Here is a 25,163-nt window from a genome sequence, read left to right on the forward strand (position 1 = left end):
AGAGGTGTCCGGGGATGGAGGGGAGCCCTCTGCTCATCACAGAGGTGTCCGGGGTGGAGGGGAGGCCTCCGCTCATCACAGAGGTGACCGGGGATGGAGGGGAGCCCTCTGCTCATCACAGAGGTGTCCGGGGTGGAGGGGGTGCCTCCGCTCATCACAGAGGTGTCCGGGGATGGAGGGGAGGCCTCCGCTCATCACAGAGGTGTCCGGGGGTGGAGGGGAGGCCTCCGCTCATCACAGAGGTGTCCGGGGATGGAGGGGAGCCCTCTGCTCATCACAGAGGTGTCCAGGGATGGAGGGGAGGCCTCCGCTCATCACAGAGGTGTCCGGGGTGGAGGGGAGGCCTCCGCTCATCACAGAGGTGACCGGGGATGGAGGGGAGCCCTCTGCTCATCACAGAGGTGTCCGGGGTGGAGGGGGTGCCTCCGCTCATCACAGAGGTGTCCGGGGATGGAGGGGAGGCCTCCGCTCATCACAGAGGTGTCCGGGGGTGGAGGGGAGGCCTCCGCTCATCACAGAGGTGTCCGGGGATGGAGGGGAGCCCTCTGCTCATCACAGAGGTGTCCGGGGGTGGAGGGGAGGCCTCCGCTCATCACAGAGGTGTCCGGGGATGGAGGGGAGCCCTCTGCTCATCACAGAGGTGTCCGGGGGTGGAGGGGAGGCCTCCGCTCATCACAGATGTGTCCGGGGATGGAGGGGAGCCCTCTGCTCATCACAGAGGTGTCCGGGGTGGAGGGGGTGCCTCCGCTCATCACAGCGGTGTCCGGGGATGGAGGGGAGCCCTCTGCTCATCACAGAGGTGTCCGGGGTGGAGGGGGTGCCTCCGCTCATCACAGAGGTGTCCGGGGATGGAGGGGAGCCCTCTGGTCATCACAGAGGTGTCCGGGGTGGAGGGGAGGCCTCCGCTCATCACAGAGGTGTCCGGGGTGGAGGGGGTGCCTCCGCTCATCACAGAGGTGTCCGGGGATGGAGGGGAGCCCTCTGCTCATCACAGAGGTGTCCGGGGTGGAGGGGAGGGTGCAGGCGAGGCCTCCGCTCATCACAGAGGAACATGTGCGTTCTGCCACCAGAGAGGAGGAGGCTGGGGAGCCCCGGGTGTCCAGGCACGAGGGAGCAGTGCGATGTTGGGCCCCACAGGCCTTCAGGACAGTTCTGGTTTTATTTCTAAGGCAATGGCGAGGCATCTTGAACGCTGGCTGTGGGTACTTTCTAAGCGGTGAACTTTCATGGTGCAGCCTGGGACAAAGAGACCGGAGGGTGGGCTGGCTGGAGACCCAGGTGCAGGTCCTGAGGGGTGGCAAGGACAGCTGACTGAGGAAGTGGAACCGCAGGGCTCTGTGGCCTGCTGGACGTAGGCAAGGTAGAGGGAGAAGCCCAGGCGGCCCCATGCCTGGGAGGAGGCGGTGGCCTTTCTGAGAGACAGGTTGTCTCAGGGTCGGGCAGTGCTTCTAGGGATGCCATCCCCCCTGCGCCCTACGCCAGCCTCCTCTCTGCACTCCCCATGCAGAGAATGAGTGAAGGGTCAGACAGCTTCAGAAACGGCCTGGTTCCTTCTGACTTCCTGCAAGCCTCCCATAAAGAACTGTGAGGCCACCACGAGCACTTATAGCCCCTTCAATTGTGGGTAAAGAGGAAGTCCCAGGAACAGGGATTGGGCAGCCACAGCTACCCAGAAGTGAAGGCAGCCGGCAGGGCAGGGCACGTGGGGGCTATGGGACCCCCTTCCCACAGGCCAGCAGGGATCCACGAGGGACTGCTAGGGCCCCAAAATGCGGGACAGGCCATGGGGGAGACTTCGGAAATCTCCTCATTGCCCTCTTCAAAGCTGGGAGCCGGAAACTTCTCGCTGTGACGAAAACACACATGGGCACATTCGTACCCATACACTCCACACTCACACATGGGTGCATGCACATCCACACGCATAGGCACACACAGGCACACACCCACACATGTAAATATGCACATATACACATTCACACACTACACACATGCATATGGGTGCACACATGTCCACACGCATGCTTACACACATACACACACACGCACTCACAGTCTCAGCAGCTGCTGCCTGGGCTGTGGGCAAATCACCTATCCCAACTCTATTTTACCCAGTTCCTGTTTTTCTCTTTCTGCCCTAAGACCCTGGAGGCACATGTCCCTGGTTCTAGCAATCTGACATTGTTTTCACTTGTTTTTAATGACTCTTCATGTGATAGAGAAGGTTCCCACATAACTGTATTCCACCTCCAATTACAAGGCTTCTGAGAAAGATGTATATCCTGAGAGCACGACTTCATCATTGATGCAGGAACTTATCACACCCATATTTACTCTATGAAAAGTCTTCAATGACTTTGAAGAGTCACCAATGGATCTGCCAAGAGTCAGGTCACTCACACGCAGTCTACACAATCTAAGCGCCTTCTGCGTGGAGCAGACAAATTAACAAAACATCATGAAACCCTCTTATGAAGTGAGTACCCAGCCAATGTACACTTTTTTTAAACGTTCACCTTTGTTAACGACTTAAAAATACAAATTAAAGCAACAGTGAAATGTCGTTTTCTCCTTCCTAATTAGCAAAGATTGTTAAAAGCAACAATAATAGGTGTTGACTAGGATTTGGTATTACAGACACTTTTGTACCTCCTCATATAAATACAAAGATACTCAACCTTTCTGGGTAGCAATTTGAAACTATGTGTCTATGGCCTTACAAATGCTTATATCCTTTGAGTCTAAAATTCCACTTTCAGAATTCTGTCTTAAGAAAACAATCAGACATGCAGATAAAGATTTATGTACAAGATCTGCACAATTATAAGAATATAAAAGCATTGGAAATATCCTACATTTCAGAAAAGCAAATGTTTAAATTAGTTAAGCTACATTTCTATAACAGAACCAGTGATGTGCTGATAAATGGTTATTAATTGTCCCTTTGGGAAAAAAAAATTTTTGAGACAGGGTCTCAATCTGTCTCCCAGGCTGAGGCACAGCGGTGCGGTCATGGCTCACGGCAGCCTCAACCTCCTGGGCTCAATCAATCCTCTCACCTCAGCCTCCCGAGTAGCTGGGACTACAGTGTGCACTACCACTCCGGGCTAATTTTTTTTATTTTTAGTAGAGACAAGATCTCTCACTATGTTGTCCAGGCTTGTCTGGAACTCCTGGGCTCAGGCAATCCACCCACCTCAGCCTCCCAAAGTGCTAGGATTACAGGCGTGAGCCATGACACCCGGCTCAAGAAAAACGAAAAAGTTTTTAAAGCCCAGATTTGTAGTGATTGCCGAGGTCTGTGGTGCCAGTTAGGACCATGGAATCGGTGGACACAGAGTTTTGAAGATATGCACATTTTCTCTTCCCCAAGCTGCTAAAAGCCAACTCCCACTCACCACTGAAGGAATATTATGTAACCATGAAAAATTGTGCTGGTGAAGGAAATTTAATAACATGCAAAAATGTTCACAGTATAATATTATATGGAAAAACAAGACACAATGCCACATTCCTTGTGTTTCAAATTTTGCTGCATAAATCATAAGTTTTACACTTGACAGAATACCATAGTCTTAGGTATGGACGTGCAGGTAGGTATAGATATCTGTAAGAAAATAGCGCAAAACTTTAACAGTGGTTGTCTCAGGATTATCTAACAGTGGGATATTCTCCTTTATCATTTTTATGTCTAATTTCCAACTTTTCTAAAATGAACTTGAATTATTTTAAATTCAGAACATAATGTTATTTTAGAAAAGAAAATGACTGAGGTGCTAGATATTGTTGTGTGGCAGTGTTCCCAGAAGCTCTTCAGATAAGGTTCTTGGAGATGGAAGAGCCGCCTACTTTGACCTTAACCTCCACAGCTCCATCCTTCACACCGGCAACCATCCATCACATGGCCGATTACTGTTCCCTCAAGCAACTCCCAAATGCTTTCACAATGGGAGTTTCCAATGAAATTGTTGGTATCACAAAAGGCATGTAATGTTTTGGAAAGAACGAAGAAGCAAAGATTTCAGAAATCGGAGAATGGAGCTGTTACACTCTTTGAGGAAGTTTCTCACTTGCTCAACATACCTTGGCCCAGCAGTGAGGAGTTGGGGAGGAGTGGGTGCCGCAGCACCCTGAAGCTCTGCGTACACCCAACTGTGCACTGTTCAAAGTGTCTTCAGAGAGAAATTCTGTTGTCTCTCCTGGAGAAACTAAAAATGAGCCAGAGAAACCCCGAACTGTGCCCTTATTCAGGAAAATGTGATTAGAAAATATTCTACCCCTTGGAAAGTCTATGAGGCCATGTATGATTTCTTAAAATAATTCCCACCATTGAGGACTGAGCCCATATTTTGTGCAGAAGTAAATATGTGTATTTTAACATTAAAGAAAAAACTTTCAAAGGGGAAATTTGAGTTTCATTCTTTAGAAAATGGAGAAGAAGAGTAACTATCCCACCTATGAGGCAAAGACATACAAAATCACAGCGTGGGGGCTCCCACCCCCGCTAGCATTTGATGGTATTTTGACCACAGAGAGATAAAACTTACATCACTGCTACTTCCTGGCCCCCAGTTCCATTAAACATTTATGGCTTCCTACACCCGTGTAACTGGAAGACAAAGAGATGGGCTGGGATTTTAGTAAACAGACAGCTCACAGTCATAACACTCATATTCATGTCATTTTCCTGGTTGCCTTCATGGCCTGTAAAAACGAAATCTCTCCCTTTAGATCTGTTTCTTCCTTAGTTATGTACCCGTGCGTGTTCATGCATGTGTACACATGGATGTAAATATACATACCAATCTCCCGCACACGCCACACGTGCAGGAGAGGGAAGGAAGGCGGCTGCGTTGTCACCAGTCACCAACCCTCCTGTCCCGCTCCTGGGTGTTCCGGTGCGACCCTCAGCCTCTGCACCTGAGGTCACCTGTGCCAACTCTCACCCTCTGCACCCAAGGGCACCTGTGCCAACCCTCAGCCTCTGCACCCGAGGACACCTGTGCCAACCCTCAGCCTCTGCACCCGAGGACACCTGCGCCGACCCTCAGCCTCTGCACCCGAGGGCACCTGCGCCGACCCTCAGCCTCTGCACCCGAGGGCACCTGTGCCGACCCTCAGCCTCTGCACCCGAGGGCACCTGTGCCGACCCTCAGCCTCTGCACCCGAGGGCACCTGTGCCGACCCTCAGCCTCTGCACCCGAGGGCACCTGTGCCGACCCTCAGCCTCTGCACCGAGGGCATCTGTGCCGACCCTCAGCCTCTGCACCCGAGGGCACCTGTGCCGACCCTCAGCCTCTGCACCCGAGGGCACCTGTGCCGACCCTCAGCCTCTGCACCCGAGGGCACCTGTGCCGACCCTCAGCCTCTGCACCGAGGGCATCTATGCCGACCCTCAGCCTCTGCACCCGAGGGCACCTGTGCCGACCCTCAGCCTCTGCACCGAGGGCATCTATGCCGACCCTCAGCCTCTGCACCCGAGGACACCTGCGCCGACCCTCAGCCTCTGCACCCGAGGGCACCTGTGCCGACCCTCAGCCTCTGCACCCGAGGGCACCTGTGCCGACCCTCAGCCTCTGCACCCGAGGGCACCTGTGCCGACCCTCAGCCTCTGCACCCGAGAGCACCTGTGCCTCCTTCCTTTAACTAAATGTGTTTATTAACCAAACGATAAGGCTTTTCCCCCAATAACTGAAACTCTGCCATACCCAGAACCAGGCTCACACTCTCCCAGCCCCTCCTGCCCGTCCCCTGCTGTCTCCCAACTCCCACCTTCCGGATGGAGCCCATCCTGCCATGCCTGGTGCTGCCCTCAGCTCCTCAAATTCCCTTGCCCAACGTCCAGCCCAGCTCCAGGACCTGGCTGAGCTCCTGGGCCATGCACCTCACAGCCTCCTAATAGGTTGCCTCGAGTCCACTCTGCCTCCTGCACATGGCGTTTCTGTGAGCTCCCCAAAGCACAGATCCCATCTTGACACTCGGCTGTGACCTTGCAGTGGCTTCCCAGAGCCCCGGAGGTGACATCCACAGCCATTACTGTAGCCTGTGAGGCCGCACAACCTGGCCCACCCTTTCCTCCATGGCCACCCCACTCCCATCCACCTCCTGGCTCTGCAGGCCCCCCCGACCCCCGCCCCCCACAAAGCTGAGACACGCCTCACACAATGGCCTCCATCCCCGGAGTCGACTGCTGTGTCCCCTGCAGAGGCCCTCACGTGTTGGCTTCAGATCCAGCCACTCAGCTAAGCCTCCCCGGCCTCCTCTCAGAGAAGCCGAGGACCCCATTCCCACTCCCAGTGCCCCTGCACCTCCTCCTGCTCTCTGGCCGGCTGCCACCGTTGCAATTGCTTGTTGGTTGTGCCCAGCAAGCCTGGTCAGTGTGGTCGCGCTCACTCCTGCACCTGGGTCACCGCCTGAACAGCCAGCTTCATTGGCCACGTGTGGACAGGACGGGGCAGGAAGGGAGGGCAGGACAGCTGGAGACACTGGCTGGGGGAGGCTTGGGACATGGTTAACATTGGGGTGAATGTTCTCTTAGGTTATTTTCGTTGGAGTGATTCATTATTGTTATACTTAGTTATTCCCAAGTGTTCTAGAACTTCTGGTCAAAGTTGCCTCTAGGAAAAAAGGAGGTGTGGAGCATTCAAACAAGAATGTCACTGTGGGAGAGGAGCGTCCAGCCCACAGCCCAGCCCCAGTAGCACAAATTGTGCACGCTACTCATGGAGATTGCCCGAATCTTATCTTTTAAAGTGGCTGATGTGATCCTTTTATTTTAGAAAATAAAAGGCTCAAAGGTATTACAGTTGCCTCCTCATGCTGCAGTCCCTACAGAAAACGAAATATAGCAGTAGAACATAAATTTGATTTTTTGGATTTCTAATAGGGAGAAATTCAAGGCTCTACAGGAAAAAAAACATGCAGGTCATATAGCAGGGCTACAGAGGAATCATTCCCCAACAAAGACAATATTTAATTTGCAGTTTGGTGATAAAATGCAAACCATAACGCACAGTGAGTGCCGAGAAGAGATGCAGAACATCATTCCATTTGCCCAAAGTAAAATTAATAGCAAAATGAAATACATAAAGTCTTTGAAGTCATCCTGAAAAATATGTTTTGTTTTTGAAGTTATAATTTTCCTCTTAGGAAATCAAATAGTTCATAAAAACTCTCACTATTAGAGAGAAAACTTCAACTCTCTATTCTCCAGAACAGATTTTATATCTTTTCCTCACAGATGCAACATACTAAAATAGAATCATGTTACTGTGGATGCCGCAGAAATACTTGCAGTGCGAAGAAAGGTGCCTCAGACACCACCTCTCGGCCCCGCGACTCCTCCCGGGAAAATGGCTCTGTGCCATTTTATCAACTTACAGCTTTGGGTTCTCCACCAATTACAGTTTCTATTTTTCTTCAAAAGTTTTTATGATAAATTTAAAATAGGCCAGAAGGCTTAGAACACCTATATATCACATCTATATTTAGCATTTGTTGTTGATAATTTGATAATGAAGTCCAAATATTTTGCTGTCTGCCAGGAAACCACCAGGAAAACAGCTATTTCCATCATTAAATCCAATGCAAACAAGTTCTGTTGGCAGAAGTTGGCTCAAGTTTCTCATGAAAACAGAAATATAAAATATTTTATTTGGTGGTTTTGAACAAATCCAGTATTTAATGTATTCCTTAGAACTTCGTAATCTGTTTTTCTCATAAAGTAAAAACAAAACACATTTTTTCACAAAACTTTTTACAGATGTCCCATTCCCCGGTTCCCCTCGTTCACTCCAGAGACCACACGACACCACGCTCTGCCTAGACCGGGAGTGGGCAGCACCTGAAGTGGCCATGGCTCATCCTGGTGATCAGAGGAGGCTGCTCTCAGCCTGCCCCAGGCCTCCTCACTGCTCAGTGGCAGGGCAGTGACCCCCCGTCCTCCCCTGCAAGGCGAGCCCTCGGGAACCAGGCTCCCAATCTCTCCCGCTGCACCCAGCACCCACAGAGCTTGGCAGTCAGAAGAACTCCGAGGGTGCGGAGCCAGCAAGACCAAGGATGACGCCTGACGTTCATCACGCAATGACCTAGAACTCTTCCCAAGGGGCTCGGCACTCACAAGCCCATCTTGGCCCCACCCTGCTTGCTCCCAGCCCTGCTCCCTCCTGAGGTCATTCCACAGTGAGGGCTGTGGAGGGAGGTGGACAGGAGAAACTTGAGAAAATGCCACATTAAAGATGAGGACAGGAAAGAATTTAACAAGAGAGCCAGGAGACACCGCAATGCAGGAACCCAGGGCGTTGGGAGCTCCAGGGTCCACGTCCGTGCCTTTATTGCGACAAATGTGAGATCCCCATCCCCGCCACTGAAAGGAGGTAGCAGGCAAGAGCGGGGGACGCTGCCTCTCATCACAAACCTCAGTGGCAACTGGCTGAACACCAGGTTCTTTTCAGTTGTGGTCCCATGTGGCTGCTTCTGGTCATTGGGTGTGGCTCTGGCCTCTGCTCCCATTCATGGGTGGCTCTGACCTACCGCAGGGCCCCAGACTGCTCTTGATTCAACCAATGAGGCCACAGGAGAGGGTGGAGGAGACACACCTGCACCTGCAGGTCTCACCTCAGCCACAGGTGACAGGCATCCCTGTGCCACAAGTCCGCCGGGAGCACCAGAAAGGTGGACACACAGATGGGGAGCGGGAGGAGGGGCAGGGAGATGTGGGCCACAGGGGCACAGCGCTGGGGGACAGTCAGTTGTCTCTGCCATTATCTTTCTGCTCACCCAATAACTGAGTATACCCCTGTTCCCAGGCACAGATCACATCCATCCCCAAATCCCGCCAGCTGTGGGGAGGGCCACTCCCTCAGCCTCAGATTTGAGCAGGGCTGACTCATTTGGTTCAATAGAGAAGGCTTTGCAATTCAAAATATGTTTCAATCTTATCTCTTTCTTTTTAGGATGCAGGCGCAACCATTTCATCCAATTCTGTAAGGCTCTTGATTTCTAAACTTGTCATGTCTCCTATTTCTGCTTGAAATCCACCAGCCATGGCCGAGTTCATGCTTCCTGTAGCACCTGCCAGCAGTGGCCCGGGCAGCTGTCACGCACTGGGCCTCGGCTCCGTCAGAACCTCGGCAGGCGTGGAGGTCGCCGTCCAAGTCCTTGCAGCTGTGGTTTCCCCAAAGGCACTGCCAGCACTGACTGTGCCTCTCCAGCCTCCAGCACATTGTCAATTCCTTGCTGCCCACCCGCAGACTGCACACACCACTGTGACTGAGGTTCCTCTTACACCTGCACCCTCTTCCAAAAACAACAGCAAATAAGTCCTCAAGTTTCATTGGCTTCACCAGTGAAGAGCTTGTTTCTCATTCACCTAGCAACCCATCATGGCTATTCCTATCAGCATCGGTGCTGTACACACGGCCACGCTAGGGCAGAGGCTCCTCACATCCTGGGCTTACCCCCTCCTGGCTCTGGCATTCTCTGCATTCAGACACAGACAGGGGAATAGCCAACAGCTTCTTCACTGCTTTGGCCCAGAAGTGACACATGTAACTCCACTCCCATTCCACAAGTGAGGATGAGCCATCTGGTTCCACTGAGGCACAAAGGGCTGACCAAGATGCCTCCCTATCTGGGCAGCAGATTCATACCATGGAGGAAGAAACCAAATTTTTGAAGCCATCTCTGCAATGAGCGTGGAAAAGACTCAGAAGAGTTTGGGCACGCTCTCCACAGCCTCTCCATGCACAAGAATCGCCCCAGGGAGCCAAATAAGAATGCGGCTCCCAGGCTCATGGAGCAGTGGCTCATGCCTGTAATCCCATCACTTTTGGAGGCCAAGGCGGGCGGATCACGAGGTCAGGAGTTCAAGACCAGCCTGACCAACATGGTGAAACCCCATCTCTACTAAAAATACAAAAATTAGCTGGGCGTGGTGGTGCATGCCTGCAATCCCAGGTACTCAGGAGGCTGACAGAGGAGAATCACTTGAACCCAGGAGGTGGAGGTTGCAGTGAGCCGAGATCACGCCACTCCACTCCCACCTGGGCGACAAAGCGAGACTCTGTCTCAATAAATAAATAAATAAAATTTTTAAAAAAAAATTTTTTTAAAAAGAATGTGGCTCCCAGCTCCTCCACCCTGCAGTTGGGTCTCCACAGATCCAGGCACGGGGCCCCAGGAGCCTGCATTTGTAACCAGCATCCTGGAAGATCCTGCCAAGGGCGCCTTGAGAAACAAAGCAGCAGGAACCTGAAGGAGACTGGGAGACGGGCTGGTGAATGCCACTGCTTAGCAGGCGGGGGCTCACCCAGCTGGCGGTGCCCCATCCTCAGCAGGCCCAGCACAGCCTCCAGTCGCCCCGCTCTGCATCGTGGGACCCCGGGGAACAGAATCTCTCACAGCCACTCAATTTGCAAGCCTGATGCCTGCAGGATAAGATTCTCACCAGTAAAATCAAAACAGCACACACAGTAAACTGAGAAATCAGACATCCTGCTCAAATTTTGGTCAACATTTTTTAAACAAATACATCTTCATAAAAACAGCTGCTGCTCAGTTTAGAACATTTGAATTCTGAAGTACATCAAAACTTTTCACAAGCACTTAATGAACACCTACCAAGTAGGCAACCCGGTGCTAAACCCAAAAGGGCTGGAAAGAGAAGCGGAGACAGCTTCTGCCTCTGGAAAGCCATTCAGCAGGCAAGGTGGATTCAGCAGGCAAGGTGGTGTGAGAGCAGCGGGTGGCGTGAGACTGGCGGGTGGTGTGAGATTGGCGGGTGGCTTGAGGATGGCGAGTGGTGTGAGGACAGCGGGTGGCATGTGGATGGTGCGTGGCCTGTGGACGGCGGGTGGCATGAGGACGGCAAGTGGCGTGAAGATGGTGGGTGGCCTGTGGATGGTGCATGGCCTGTGGACGGTGGGTGGCATGAGGACGGCGGGTGGTGGGTGGCGTGTGGCGTGTGGACGGTGCATGGCGTGTGGACAGCAGGTGGTGTGTAGACAGCGGGTGACATGTGAGAGGCACCACAAGCCTCCCTGCCCACACAGGAAGGGCATGCTGGCTCCTCCAGTGATGATCAGTACCCAGGAGTGCCTCGGAGGCTTCACACAACACATACCGAGCACGTACGGAGCAGTGCCTGGTTTCAACACAGGAATGGGGAGGAGCAGATTGTCATTTGTTCGTTGTTTCTGAACAGCATAGTGCTATAATAAGGAGGACATGGCCCCTAAAACTAAAATAGAAACAAGGAATTGCTTCTGGCCCGTCAGCAACCACACCTTCCCGGCTCTGGGTGGCTCACAGCATGTACCTGTGTCTCGGTGGGCTTCTCTGTGATTAGCGACACTAACACCATTCTCAGAGGCAGATGGGGCAGTGAGAGTCCCGGCTCCCTAAGGTGACTGCAGATGTAAGGAAGCATCCATGCCCATCTCCAGCGGGGGCTTCCTTCCCATCCTCTTTCCAGCCGTGGAGCTGTCCGTGGTCTTGGCCTTCTCTGGGCACATCCTCTGGAGTACTGACTTAAGGCTTCACCTAAACTTTTCTGTGCATAAAACGTGATTATTTATTCCCCTAATACAAGGAATGGAGTGCTGAAAACCATTAGTGAGGGCTTCCGTGCAGGCCAGATCGCAGCAGAGATGACTGCCGGTGCCTGAGGAGCTGGTCTCCTAGAAAGTTGATTTGCTATTCATCATCGAAGCAGGAGGAAAATAGGATAGGAAGTTTTAATTATCCTGACAGCCAGGTTTTCAAAGGCGTAGACACTTGAGGCTCTCTGACGAGAGCATCAGATGAGCTGAAATCACCAAGGAGAGCAAGCACACGTGTGCAGGGCAGACATTTCTCATTCCCAAAGTGTATCGTTTCAGCCTGCTTACACTACATGCAGGATATGAGCGAGTGGAGACTGGCCCTTCACAGGGCATTTTGGGATATTCAGAAAGCCGGATCTTCTCTCCAGCTGTCATAGGCCAGACTCCCCAGGACTCAGACCCTGAGATGGGAGAGCCAAAAGCATATAGGCCGTGCTCCTGCCAGCAGGTGGGGCAGGGTGGGCCACAGAGCAGAGGCCCCGACCCAGGAGGCCCCTGAACCTAAGGATCCTTCAGCATCTCCCCACGAGGCAAGTGGGCCAGGCATGAGTAACCTGCATGAGTCAGCATCTGGCAGCTGGTCCCAGATGGGGCCACCCCAGGGAGAGAGCATGGCATTGGAGGACGCAGCCCAGAGTCCTCAGGAGCCACACCCGTGTAGCAGGGGTGCCTGCAGGGGTCTGTGCCTGGGATGCATCTGATACAGAGCATGACTCTGACAGCCGTCAGCCCCCAAGTGCTTTCCCCGCTGTTAAAACGGCCTTCTCATGGCAGCCACCAAAATATCCCACTACGGCCCTGGGGTCTGGTCACCAAGGACTTCCCCTAGCTGCCCCTGGACCTAGACCTCAAGTCCTACTGGCCTTGCAGCAGTGAATTCTGATTGGTTATATTTCTCTGCAAATTGTTTTTGGTCAAATTAATGGAGAATGAAAGTACAAAACTTTATCTTCTTCTTTTAATGTGATATTTTATGCACAGAATTATGTTATAATAAAAAATTCTTTGTGCTCTATAAAACAACTGATTTAAAGCTTAGAAAGAACTATCTTGGTTTCCTGGCTAACACCAGCTGCAGTAAAACATTTACATGCATAAGACAGACATCCGAATCATCCCGTTCTGCAAAAACCTCCTTTAATATCCATGCACCATTTTTCAGAAAGACGGAAGCATGAAGACATATAGTGCCTGGAAAGATGTTTTTTCCATCGTTTTTGAATTAGTAGCTTCCGCTAATAAATTGTTTGCTTTCTCTGAACTTTTTTCATTGTCTATATTTAAACATGTGAATTTATACTGACCCTGTGTTATTATTTCAAAGAATTTTGATTAGTACCTGGTGCTGAATCACAAGATACTGTCTTAAGTGGTCAACAGTCTTAAAATGGCGCATTGAGGTGGACACATACATGGGCAAAATGTCATGAATTCAAAGAGAAAATAAAATGATACCAGACCTATGAAGATGTCCTAAATAAATCCCAATATAAAGGTTTAATTCCAGTGGACATTTTCAGCCAAGCTTTATACATGGAACCACGTGAATTCATGGTAAGATCAGTCTAAATGTTCCAAATTCCAACATGGAAATAAATAAAGTAAAATAATGGGTGGAAGGGACAGAGCTTCCTTATGGAGAATTTCCAAGTGGAATTTGGAAATTCTTCCTTATTGGAATTTCCAATTAAATGTAAAAGAAATGAGGGAACTAGATAACCACACTAGAACTGTTGTGGGCAGTCTACCCAGAGATACTAAAATCAGTGAGCAAAAGTTTAAATATAATAGAATATTTAAATACTTTCAAAGTATCTCTGCTTCCTGGAGTTATTTACTAAGTACAGAGGGAGAGACAGTAACTTTGTAACCCTGGGAGACCTCGCCAAGCAATCATGGGCAACATCGCCAGGATAAGGCACCTCTACGTCACACACCTCTGGATATGATGTGTTGAAAATCATTCATCGTTGCTTTTATGATGTTCTTGCCCAAAATGCATCACTTTAATCAGGAGAAAACATCAAGCAAACACAAATTGAGGAACATTTTGCAAAGTGACTGGCCAGTACCTTTCCAAAAGGTGAAGGTCATGAACAACAAAGAAAAACTGAGGAACTGTCACGCCATGGAGACGGTGGTGTGAGGAGTGGATGCAATGGGAGGCACTGGGTTGGATCCTGAAACAGAAAAAGGACCTTGTTGGGAAAACTGGTGAAATCAGAGTAAAGCTTGCCACTTAGTCAACAGCATTATGCAAATACTAATTTCTTAATTCTACAGTCCTCCCATGGCCATGCAGGATGCTGACACCAGACAGGTAGGGGAAGGGCACATGGGAACTGTCTGTACAATTTTTGCAACTTTTGCGTAAATCTAATACTATTTCAAAAAAATTTTTTAAACTGTCCAAAAACCTCCCGCTGTAGTCATGCTGATTTTCCTAGTCTGTCCAACGTAACCGCAGGAATCACCATCACAGGACTTTATCTTGGAAGAGAAACAGGTTAACACCTGATTTGGGGTGGGGGGAAAGAGAGAGAGAGAGCCTGCAGAGAAGAGCCCCCAGTAGTCTCTGATCAAATTCCCACCAAAACTTCAGCTGAAGCTTCGGGCTTCTGGTCTTTCCTCAAACAGCAGACTTTCTCCTGATGCCACCATCAAAAAAACCCTGCCCATCTCGACGGCAGGGTGCTAGCTGTATAGATCAGTGAATAAGTCAGTAAGATTAAAAGGTGATGGAAATGCGAAGGTCAGGGAGACTTGGGGGCACGGCTGTACCACGGGGGCTTCCTCATGTCCCCACGTTTTCCATGTGGAACGTCACTCCCATCCCACTCACTTCATATCCAGCAAGTATTGAACAAGAAGTCCTGTCATTTAAAAAGAAAGGGAGAAAAGTTGGTCACAGCCAGAGAAGCGTGTCGTCACTCAAATGCAGGAGCATCTGGCGGGCTGAGGATATCTTTTATACCATTAAGAAGGACCAAGACATAGTCCTTTCTAAAACTGGGCTAGAGGCAAAAGAAAAAAAAATGCCTGGAGTTGAGGCAGAAACTCATAAGCCCATAAAGGGAGGCGGACACGAAGGCGGGACGGAAGCACGTCATCGGCGGACAGAAGGCGTGACGGAAGTACGTCATCACCGAGGCTCTCACTGTGCTCACGGCCTCATGAGCCCATAAAGGGAAGCGGACACGAAGGCGGGACGGAAGCGCGTCATCGGCGGACAGAAGGCGTGACGGAAGCGCGTCATCACCGAGGCTCTCACAGCGCTCACGGCCTCATGAGCCCATAAAGGGAAGCGGACACGAAGGCGGGACGGAAGCGCATCATCGGCGGACAGAAGGCGTGACGGAAGCACGTCATCACCGAGGCTCTCACAGCGCTCACGGCCTCATGAGCCCATAAAGGGAGGCGGACACTAAGGCGGGACGGAAGCGCGTCATCACCGAGGCTCTCACAGCTCCCAGGACCTTATGAGCCCATAAAGGGAAGCGGACACGAAGGCGGGACGAAAGCGCGTCATCGCCGAGGCTCTCACAGCTCCCAGGACGTCCGCAAGCATGTTTCCAACAAGCCCTGCCCACGTGTGGTTTCCCGTGTGACTGACCACGGACCGAGGAGAGCTGGGCCCGCCCTGGGCACGAGGGACCACGGGGCATCCTTTCGGCTGGTGCTGCCAACAGGCCTCCTTCCAGGGCAGAGCCACTCTCTGTGTTAAATGTTTGCCCAGAAGCCGGCCACGTTTCCAAAACCGGGCACAGTGACTCTGAGATCAACACTCAAAAATATCATTTCCAAAAGAATTCAAATTCCCCCAGAAGGGAAGCTACAGAAATCATAACTGCTGTGTGGCCGTGCAGCCCAGAGCATGTGACAGCCGGTGATGAGTGTCAGAGCCGCATTGCCACCCGGCACAGGCAGGAGGAGATGAAACATTTATGGTGTGAATTAAAACAAAAGGAAAAAAACAATTTTTTTTTTTTTGAGATGGGATCTGGATCTGTTGCTCAGATCCAGTGGAGCGCAGTGGCTGGAGTGCAGTGGTGAGATCTCGGCTCACTAGAGCTTCCGCCTCCTGGGCTCAAGCCATCCTCGTGCTTCAGCCTCCGAAAGTAGCTGGGACCCCAGGGGTGCATCACCGTGACCAGAAAATTTTTACATTTTTGGTAGAGACGCGTTTCACCATGTTGCCCAAGGTGATCTCAAACTCCTGAGCTCAAGCCATCTTCCCACCTCAGCCTCCCAAAGTGCTGCAGTTAAGGTGTGAGCCACAGTGACCGGCCGAGAAATGATACTTTAAGTAAAATGCCTATGAGTCCATCACTAAAGGGAAAATCATTTCCATGGAGGCCTGTGTCATAGTTTATCCAGGATTTTAAAGAGATGCTGCTACTCTGCAGGTGTCTAATGTCATAGGATGGCAAAAGAGAGAAGCCTGAAATATTTATATGAATAGAATATGAAACTTAACTAATGGTGCCCGCTTCGATTACGTGCATTTTCACATTGCTACTAACCTGAAAGCCGCCCTCAATATTTTATAGGCTACCATTTCCCGCCTGGGCTACACGAGGCCTCTGGGTTCTTTTACGAACATTGTCTGTCATTTATTATGTGATAGATGCATAATTGTAAATTACACGGAAAGCCAAAATAAAAACATGTTTACGTTTTACACTGGAATTTTATTCCTGTAGTGTATTAATTATGTGAAGATAAGATGTCTGTTGAAATTTTTCAGGAAATATTTTTCTCCTCTCCAAAAGATTTTCATAATTATCAATGAGCAAAGCATAAAACCGTGGCTCTGCCAATTCTGTGACCCCACACTGTGTCACTACAGATTTTTTTTTTTTTGGTCATTACCCTTGACATCGCTTCAAGACTCAGTGGTGGCCCCCGTCCTCTTCAAAAGCAGAGCGGGAACCTCCTGAAGGAGAGCCTGTCAAGTCGGCGACTCCCAAGCCGGCCTCTCTGCTGCGGGAGGCAGGAGGACCCTGCGTTTTCCACGCACGCACACAGCTCCAATTAGCTTTAATGAGAGTTCCACATGCGCATCCGAAACACAGACCCCATCATGCTTAAGTTAATGTGGGGTAAATTATATTAAGGGAAATATCAGTGTTTCTTAAAATGAAGTAAACAAGCTGTGAGACTCATTAGCTGTGGAAGTTATTATGAACGCAGCAAACGTCCGTGGCCTCCAGGCCCCACAGGTTGCATGTATTGAGCACCCACTGAGCAGCGGGTCCCTGGCTCACCTGGCGCTGTGTTATTGCCCACAGCCTGCAGTGGGAGGAAGGCGATGCAGGAGGACGGCGGGTCGGTGCCTGGCTCTGAGCCCCGTGGGGGCCTGACCCGCTCTGAGGCTGCACTCTGCTCCTACCCCACACCACCTCCCCACCAGGCGTTGGTCAGGACTCTTGAGGGGCTGCTAGAGGTGAAATGCTGTCCTTACCACCCTAGTATAAAGCGACCTCAGCTCAAACCCAAACCGGAGTTACCTCCTTCCCACCAAAGGCAGCGCTCCGCCAAGGGGGCCTCTCAGCTCCTAGCACCCAGTCCGTCCCTGGTGCAAATCAGGGCCCTAGGATCCATCCATTTCACCAGCACCACACTGCTGGTTCCAGCTTCCATGAGCCTCATTACCCTGCGATATGGCAGGGGCCTCTAGACTGACCCCTTACGCACAGCCACCCCTTCAATCCATACTTCAGCCAGAGGCACCCTCAAACCTGTGTCTCAGCTCATCCTAGCAGCATAAGTCTCAGCACCTCCCACTACACATGCAAGCACACGCACACACTTGCTCACAAATCTCAGCAACTTCACACACACATACACGCTCACAAATGTCAGTGATGTCCCACCACACACACAACGCACACACACTCGCTCACAAATCAGTGACATCCCCACCACACGCACACACATACGACTCACAAATCTCAGTGACTTCCCACTGCACACGCGCGCGCGCACACACACACTCGCTCACAAATCTCAGTGATGTCCCACCACACACAATGCGCACACACACGCACACATACGCACTCGCTAACAAATCTCAGCAACTTCCCAAGTTCCTGCATGACTGCTTTCTGCACAGCCAAGCCCCTACCTGCCCTAGGGGACAACCGTCCTTCTCCCCATGTCCATCCACAACTCAGGAAGCCACGCCCCAGCCTCCGTTGCATTTAGCGGGGCCAGCTGGCCGGCTCCAGCATGCAGGCCTCAAGAAAGTGGTGCGGCCACTTCTAGGAAAAAGCACTGGCTCTAGGTGTGAGTCCCGCCGTCCCATTCAGGCAGATGTGGACTCCCAAGGTCGGAAACTCCACCCGGGCACAGAGTCGCCCACAAAGGACAGCTGCCTCGGATCGTTGCAGACTCACAGTGGACTTTGGAAAGGAAAGAAAGAGACCTTGGAGGTGTCCACCTGCTGATATTCAAACTCGTCCATCCCAACTAAGCCGCTGTCTCTCCAAATCCCGGATGTCCGTCTCCACTTTGTGACTAAGACTCTGGGACCTGCCGCCACCTCCCCTAACTCCCATCTCCTCTCCCCGCCTGTGCCTCTCTCACTCTCCTCCTCTAATTAGTCCCCATTCATCAGGATTTCAGCTCGATGATGTCTTCCCTAACCAGCCAAGGGGTAGCAGCCCCACGGCCGGCACCTGGCCCCCGTCGCTCCCTCCCTGCACTCACCTTGCTGACCAGCCTCCCTCACTCCCTCCCTGCACTCATCCTACTGACCAGCCTCCCTCACTCCCTCCCTGCACTCACCTTGCTGACCAGCCTCCCTCACTCCCTCCCTGCACTCACCTTGCTGACCAGCCTCCCTCACTCCCTCCCTGCACTCATCCTACTGACCAGCCTCCCTCACTCCCTCCCTGCACTCACCTTGCTGACCAGCCTCCCTCACTCCCTCCCTGCACTCATCCTACTGACCAGCCTCCCTCACTCCCTCCCTGCACTCATCCTTGCTGACTGGTCGGCCACTGTGTCTCTTCAACACCAGACCTGGTCCCACCTGCTGCGTTCCCTCTTCCCGCCTCAGGACTCTTGGGTTCCTTGTGTGTCCTCAGTAACACACTTACTGCAGTCTGAATTGGTGCCGAATTTCAGTGCTCCTACCAAATACACTTTTCACAGAATTAATAACCAAATAGCCACATCTTCAAATCAGGCTACAAAATTCTGTTTTATTTATCAGTTTTAACACAAATGCGAATCACTGTCATCTAATTTTCAGAACATTTTTATTTTGCTTTTTATAGGTCAGTTTCCTTTAAATAGCACAGGTTGTGGGATTCGAACTGGAAGATACCTCATTGAACTTGGAAATATGTCTCAGTGCCAGGTCTGCTTGGTCTCACCCAGCACCTGAATGGATGACATTAATAGAATCTCCTGGCATGGGAAAGGGGTGGTCTCCTGGAGGCTGTGGTGGCAGCTGGGAGGCCTGGAGCCAGCTGCTTCATCCCCACTGCTCTGTGACTGCCCCGGCCCCCAGGCTGCAGGAAGAACGGATCCCAGAGTTACAGAACGCCAGGCCCGGGGGTGGCTAGGACTTGGCTGGGGCCAGCTTCACTCACCAGATGCAGGGCATACATTCCCCAGGACACTTGCTGAGGCTGCCTGGCCCAACAGGTACAGAACCAAGACACGATCATCACATCACGTGGACAACCCGGTCACCCACCCTGTCAGGACACAACCAGGCCAACAAGAGCCATCTGGGTGCTTCTCTCTGGCCACTGAGGTCTCACAGATGCTATCAGATATTAACTTACCTGACCCAAAACAACCAACAAATTTAAAGTTGTTTCCAGGGACAAAAATGGGGAGTTGGTATCACAATGGAGGGTAGGGCAGGAACGAGGTACAGTGAGAGGCAGCAGGAGAAGTGGCAATTCCTCAGATTAGTCAGGGTGGAGTAGGCTGTGCTGCAGTAACACGAGCACCCTACATCTCAGCAGCTTCACCCAGAGCATGGAAATTTCTCACTCAGCTCCATCTGGCACCCAGGATCCCATGTTTATCACCATCTGGGAGGAGAGGCAGGGTCTCCAGCTCCTGCCTGCCCGTTCCCTGAAAGGGCAATGACTGCCTTTTCTCCACCTTCATTGCCAAGGGAGGCTGGGAGGTGTGGGGCACTCCTGGAGCATTTGGTGGGCATGGCCCACCTCCGACCACAGCTTTCTGTGCAAAGCCTGGATATCCTGCCCTTTCTGTTCAGTTGAAGAGAACCTGTGAGATCAAATGGCAGGAAGCATCACTTCCAACAAACTCATTCCTGTCCCTCCAATTGCAGATGTTTGTGTATTTGAGTGATCTCATCCACACGCAAATGTCGTTTCTTCCAGATTCTTTCCGCTATCCCAAGACACCAAAAAGTGAAGCTAAAGTGACAACCCCCAAACTTCAGACAAGGCTTTCTCCGTTTGTGGAACCTCAAACAATCAAAATGCCTTCAGGCAAACCCAGGAAGCGATGGGGAGTGCCAGCTCGGTTGCCTAAAAAGCCCATCCCATCACCGTCCACAGCTTTACGTGGTTCTGCGACATGGGACAGTGTTTACAGGAGAAAGGGATGGGGGAGGGGAAACGGAGGCTGGAGGGGCACAGTTGATGGGCAGAGTAAAGACACAGCCCTCGCACCTCTTCCATGGAAGGACAGTCACACTCCTTTTCATGAGATATGACCACATTGCCCCAGGGAGACTCAGCAATAGTTAAAGGGGCAGATAAACAACTTTTTTTTTTTTATTCTACTTTAAGTTCTGGGATAAATGTGCAGAACATGCAGGTTTGTTACATAGCTACAGATGTGCCATGGTGGTTTGCTGCACCTATCAACCCGTCATCTAGGTTTTAAGCCCCACATGCATTAGGTATTTGTCCTAATGCTCTCCCTCCCCTAGCCCCCTGCGCCCCCAACAGGCCCCAGTGTGTGATGCTCCCCTTCCTGTGTCCATGTGTTCTCATTGTTCAACTCCCACTTATGAGTGAGAACATGGGATGTTTGATGGCGAGGCTGTGGAGAAATGGGAATGCTTTCACACTGTTGGTGGGAATGTAAATTAGTTCAACCATTGTGGAAGACAGTGTGGTGATTCCTCAGGGATCTAGAAGCAGAAATACCCTTTGACCTAGCAATCCCATTACTGGATATATACCCAAAGGATTATAAATCATTCTACTATAAAGACACATGCACATGTATGTTTATTGCAGCACTGTTTACAATAGCAAAGACTTGGAACCAACCCAAATGCCCATCAATGATAGATTAGATAAAGAAAATGTGGCACATAGACACCATGGAATACTATGCAGCCATAAAAAAGAATGAGTTCATGTTCTTTGCAGGGACATGGATGAACAACCTTTTAGAGCGTGCCAAAAATCTATCCACCCTCTCCAGCTGTTAGCAGCCAAAAAAAAATTCACCGGCTTTTCCCTTCTGCCTGACGACCTCATGGTCCTCTGCAGGGCAGGCCTCTGCCACCTGGAGAAGTGCGACTCTTCTGTGAACCACACATAGGCCCTGGGTGGAGGCCAGCCATCTGGCTTCTTCTCCTCCAACTCGGGTTCTCTATGGATGACCCCTTGAGATCCCTCAGAGGGCCCGTCTGTGAGAAAGGCACCCACATGCAGAGACTTGAGCCAGCTCACCAGCCGGGCACACAGAGATCATCTGTGCCTCTGTGGTGTTTGTTTCTTACTCGCCTACTAAGAATACCAACCCCAAAAGGGGCCTCCATGGGAGAGTGCAGAAGGGGCTCCCAGGGCGGGGTGCATGGCGGGTTTTAGGTTGTCTATCTCTCCAGCAGTCACCTCCCTGGAAAGCACGTCTTGGGAATCATTAATTCATTCATCAGAGTCTTTGCCAGCTTCTCCTTAACAAGCTGAGTGTCACGGCAATGACACACATCACCCCTGCTCGCTGCACATGGACCGTCGGCCGATGGGCCTGGCAGCTCCAAGGGCTGTGAGGAAAATTAACCAGGGAGCAATGGCCAGGCGCAGAGCGGAAGCCACAGGCACAACGACCTCCTTGTCCTCTGGGTTGATATCCTCGGATTCAATAGCCCTAGATTGAAAGCCCAGATACGAAGGACCCACCACGTCACAGCATTTTATATCAGGGACTTGAGCATCCGAGGCTTTGGGTATCCGAGGGAGGTCTTGGGGCCAATCCCGGGTGAATACAGAGGCCACCTGTATAACCTCAGGGCTTCAGGGCAGGAGGCCCCACCCCACAGAAGTCTTTCTCCTTCCAGCCTCTCCCTCCACCAAAGGGTCCACACTCACCTTTCCTCCCAGGATACTCGTGCCAGAAACCCCATGCAGACCCCAGTGAAGCTGCTCCGAGGAAGTGCCCAGGATGGATCCACCTGGCATGAAACTCAAAATAAGCCCAAGACCAAGATGAGAATTGGGAAGGTTGAAGAAAGCAGCCCAGGGGGACGCAGCTTGTGGGTGGAAGGAGATGGAGAGCCAGGCACTCTGGGGCCATGGGGCATCCAGACATGCTCTGCCTACACGTCCCACCGAGCTGGGGAGTGTCATGAGCTTGGCGGGACCAGGTGGGATCTGGGGAGGGGCCACAGGGCCCGCTGTTCCCGGTGTGGCCATCTGCTCCATGACACGGAGAGGACACTGACCTGAAGCTGCGTCGCCAGAAGGCCCTTCAGGTGTGTCCAGCTGAGCCGCAGCCACTGCCTCTGTTGGGGCAGCCCTCCTGCCAGCTCTGCTGAGCAAACTGCAGTCATGGTCTCACAGACCCACCCCATGAGCTGAAGCCTCGGCAGGGGCCATCCCAACAGTGCCCTGGGTTTCTACAAATTGCAGTACAGGCCCCCGGGGCCAGGCCTCCTGACTCTCCCCAGGCCCAGCACTCACTTGGTGGCTCTTTGGACCCTTTCGAGACAGCACGGGCAGGGGTCTCCTCCTCCACGCTGGCCCCAGGACTCCGCCTGTGCTGTCCTCATGCCAATGGCAGCCAGGGGCAGAGGGAGGCTGCAGGGGGCTGGCCGCCGGCCTGACGAGGCTACCGCACCCTCTGTTTTCATGGCCAGCCACCAAAACCAAACCGTGTGGACAGCCAGGAGTGCCCAGCATGGGAGCCCCCTGAGAGCCGGCCCTTGGTGGGAATTTGTGACTAAATATGGGCTATGGGCCGGGCGTGGTGGCTCACACGTGTAATCCTGCACTCTGGGAGGCTGAGGTGGGCGGATAACCTGAGGTCAGGAGTTCGAGACCAGCCAGGCCAACACAGTGAAACTCCGTCTCTACTAAAAATACAAAAATTAGCTAGGTGTGGTGGCAGTCACCTGTAATCCCAGCTGCTCGGGAGGCTGAGGTGGGAGAATCACTTGACCTAGGGAGGCGGAGGTTGCAGTGATCCAAGATCATGCCACTGCACTCCAGCCTGGGTGACAGAGCAAGACTCTGTCTCAAAACAAAACAAAGAATAAAATAAATATGGGGCTAGGGTCTACAGTGTGATGACAATGTCCAAGGCGCTCTTCGTCCAGCGGCAGCCTCAGGAACGTTTGCTGAGGCCTTCATGGGCCAACACATTTACACACACATTCAAGGAGGCATCAGATGCTGTGCACATCAGCAGAGGAGACAGAGCGCTGAGGATAAAACACACGTGTCTCCTACACTGAGAGAGGGGAGTGAGGTGGCCACAGCCAGGGATGGCAGACAGAACACAACCATGACAAAGACAGGAAACCCTCCCAACAGCGAGAGCCATCGGGGTGATGGGTTTTCTTGAATGCTATTGATTATATTCCCAAAAGGCCATAAATTACAGAGGGAATTGTTCTTAAGGTCCTTGCTGAGCCTGACCTGTCCTGATGACTTTCCTGCCACTGTCAGGTTCAGGGGACTCTTGTTCTTTGGCTGATATTAACAAGCATTCTCCTTCCTTGCAGTCACCTCACCGTCCTGAGTACGATGAAGTGGAGTCAGACGGTGTGGGGATAAAGCCAGATAAAGCCTGTGGCTGCCACTCGAGGAGAGAGGAGAGTGGATGTGCTCTTTCAGGGGACAGAGCAGGCCTCTTTCCTCGGGGATGGGGTCTCCCCATGGGGATCTGTGAGGTCCACCCTCTGCACAAGAGAAGTTGAGCGTGTGATGGACTCAGGAGCCTCTTCCACTGTCGTTTCACAGCAAATGCAGGTCCAGAAGGCCTCAGATGCCCCAGAAGCCCAGGTTTTTAAAGCAGCCCATGTTAAAAGCCACCCTCCCTGAATAAGGCCACTTTCAGGCAGGTCAGCAGCTGAAGAACAAATGCCAAGGAGGAAGTGGCGCTCAGCCACCCGGATCCCTTGGGCTATTTAAAACTAACAAATCGAGGTTGGGAGGAAGTGTGTAATAGAAGTGTTGCCTCACTACAAAAGTGCCACTTTCCACACGTGCACAGACCCTCAGGCATGTGGACAACGTCCCGGCGTGCCCCACAGGCGAATGGGGGAGTTGGTTCACTTTCTTTTAAGAGGCTTATTATGTTTCTCTCTGTGATCACCTGAAGTTGGATAAATGATACAGTGCAATTTATTATTTATACAGTATCCTTCATACAGAGCATCACAAAACGTTTTGCAGCAAGAACAAGACAGAGAAGCAGTAAACTCTGCCAAGAAGGCAAGACCTTTCCAGCCAACAGGGATGAGGGCAACAGGACAGCCGGAAGAGACAAAGCTTGGCCCTGCCAACCACATTTCCAACTGGACACACCCGGTTCAAACTGGCCCAAAGGACACCCCTGCTGGAGTCCCAGGGACACACACACAGATGCACAAGCCCTTCAGCCGCCTCTGGGACTCCACCAAGAATTGCTGTCCTGCAGTGAATCCCATTAAACCAATGTGGGGTCGCACAAACACAGAAGCATCACTTCAGAGTACAACAGCACCAGTCAACGCTGTGGGTCTTTCATTTTGTTGTTGTTGTGTTGCTTATTCTTAGAGGCAGATCAGATTAATTTTACTGCAGTTGAAAATCATGCAAATATAGTTTAGAAGGAGGCATTTAATTCTTTATGGCTCTTGCACACAACACAAATAGCACCTCCAGTACTAACACTGCTAAGTGTTTTTAGTGTTATTCCACTATACAGTACATCACGATGTTAATTTTCCACATTCCTTTATTCCTTCTCCAGACCATATTTTACAACAGAGAAAACAAACTGCTTGTAATTACACTGCATGCCAGGACAAATTAAGTAAACACGCATTTTTAATGCTTCAGGCTGTTAGGGTGAAAACAAAGGACTTCAGTTAAGGTCAATATTAGAGTTATGCAATTGCTCGGGGATGCAAAAGACAAACCCTTGATGGAATGTGGGTAAAATGGAAATGGCTCCACTCAATGCTGCGGAGCTGGATTCTCAAAAATAATGCACTGCCAATGAGGCCAGGACATTTTTCCTATTGCATATTCATTATCTTGGAGAGTAATGCTAATGCCAATAATAAAAAACGATAACAAATCAACAGAAAAATCCACTGTGTCACTAACAGGGATGTGAGTC

The 25,163-nt window shown here is 51.4% G+C and overlaps 2 annotated features.

Annotated features, from left to right (window-relative positions):
- Positions 5,866–6,366: an enhancer, noted in NCBI's record as "H3K4me1 hESC enhancer chr18:76547900-76548400 (GRCh37/hg19 assembly coordinates)". NCBI's record gives its function as "activates a minimal SCP1, AML or CMV promoter by ChIP-STARR-seq in naive H9 embryonic stem cells {active_cell/tissue: H9 hESC(naive)}" and the evidence as "EXISTENCE:reporter gene assay evidence [ECO:0000049][PMID:30033119]".
- Positions 6,367–6,867: an enhancer, noted in NCBI's record as "H3K4me1 hESC enhancer chr18:76548401-76548901 (GRCh37/hg19 assembly coordinates)". NCBI's record gives its function as "activates a minimal SCP1, AML or CMV promoter by ChIP-STARR-seq in naive H9 embryonic stem cells {active_cell/tissue: H9 hESC(naive)}" and the evidence as "EXISTENCE:reporter gene assay evidence [ECO:0000049][PMID:30033119]".

The sequence above is a fragment of the Homo sapiens genome, chromosome 18 (assembly GCF_000001405.40).
Source record: "Homo sapiens chromosome 18, GRCh38.p14 Primary Assembly".
Classification (NCBI taxonomy): Eukaryota; Metazoa; Chordata; class Mammalia; order Primates; family Hominidae; genus Homo; species Homo sapiens.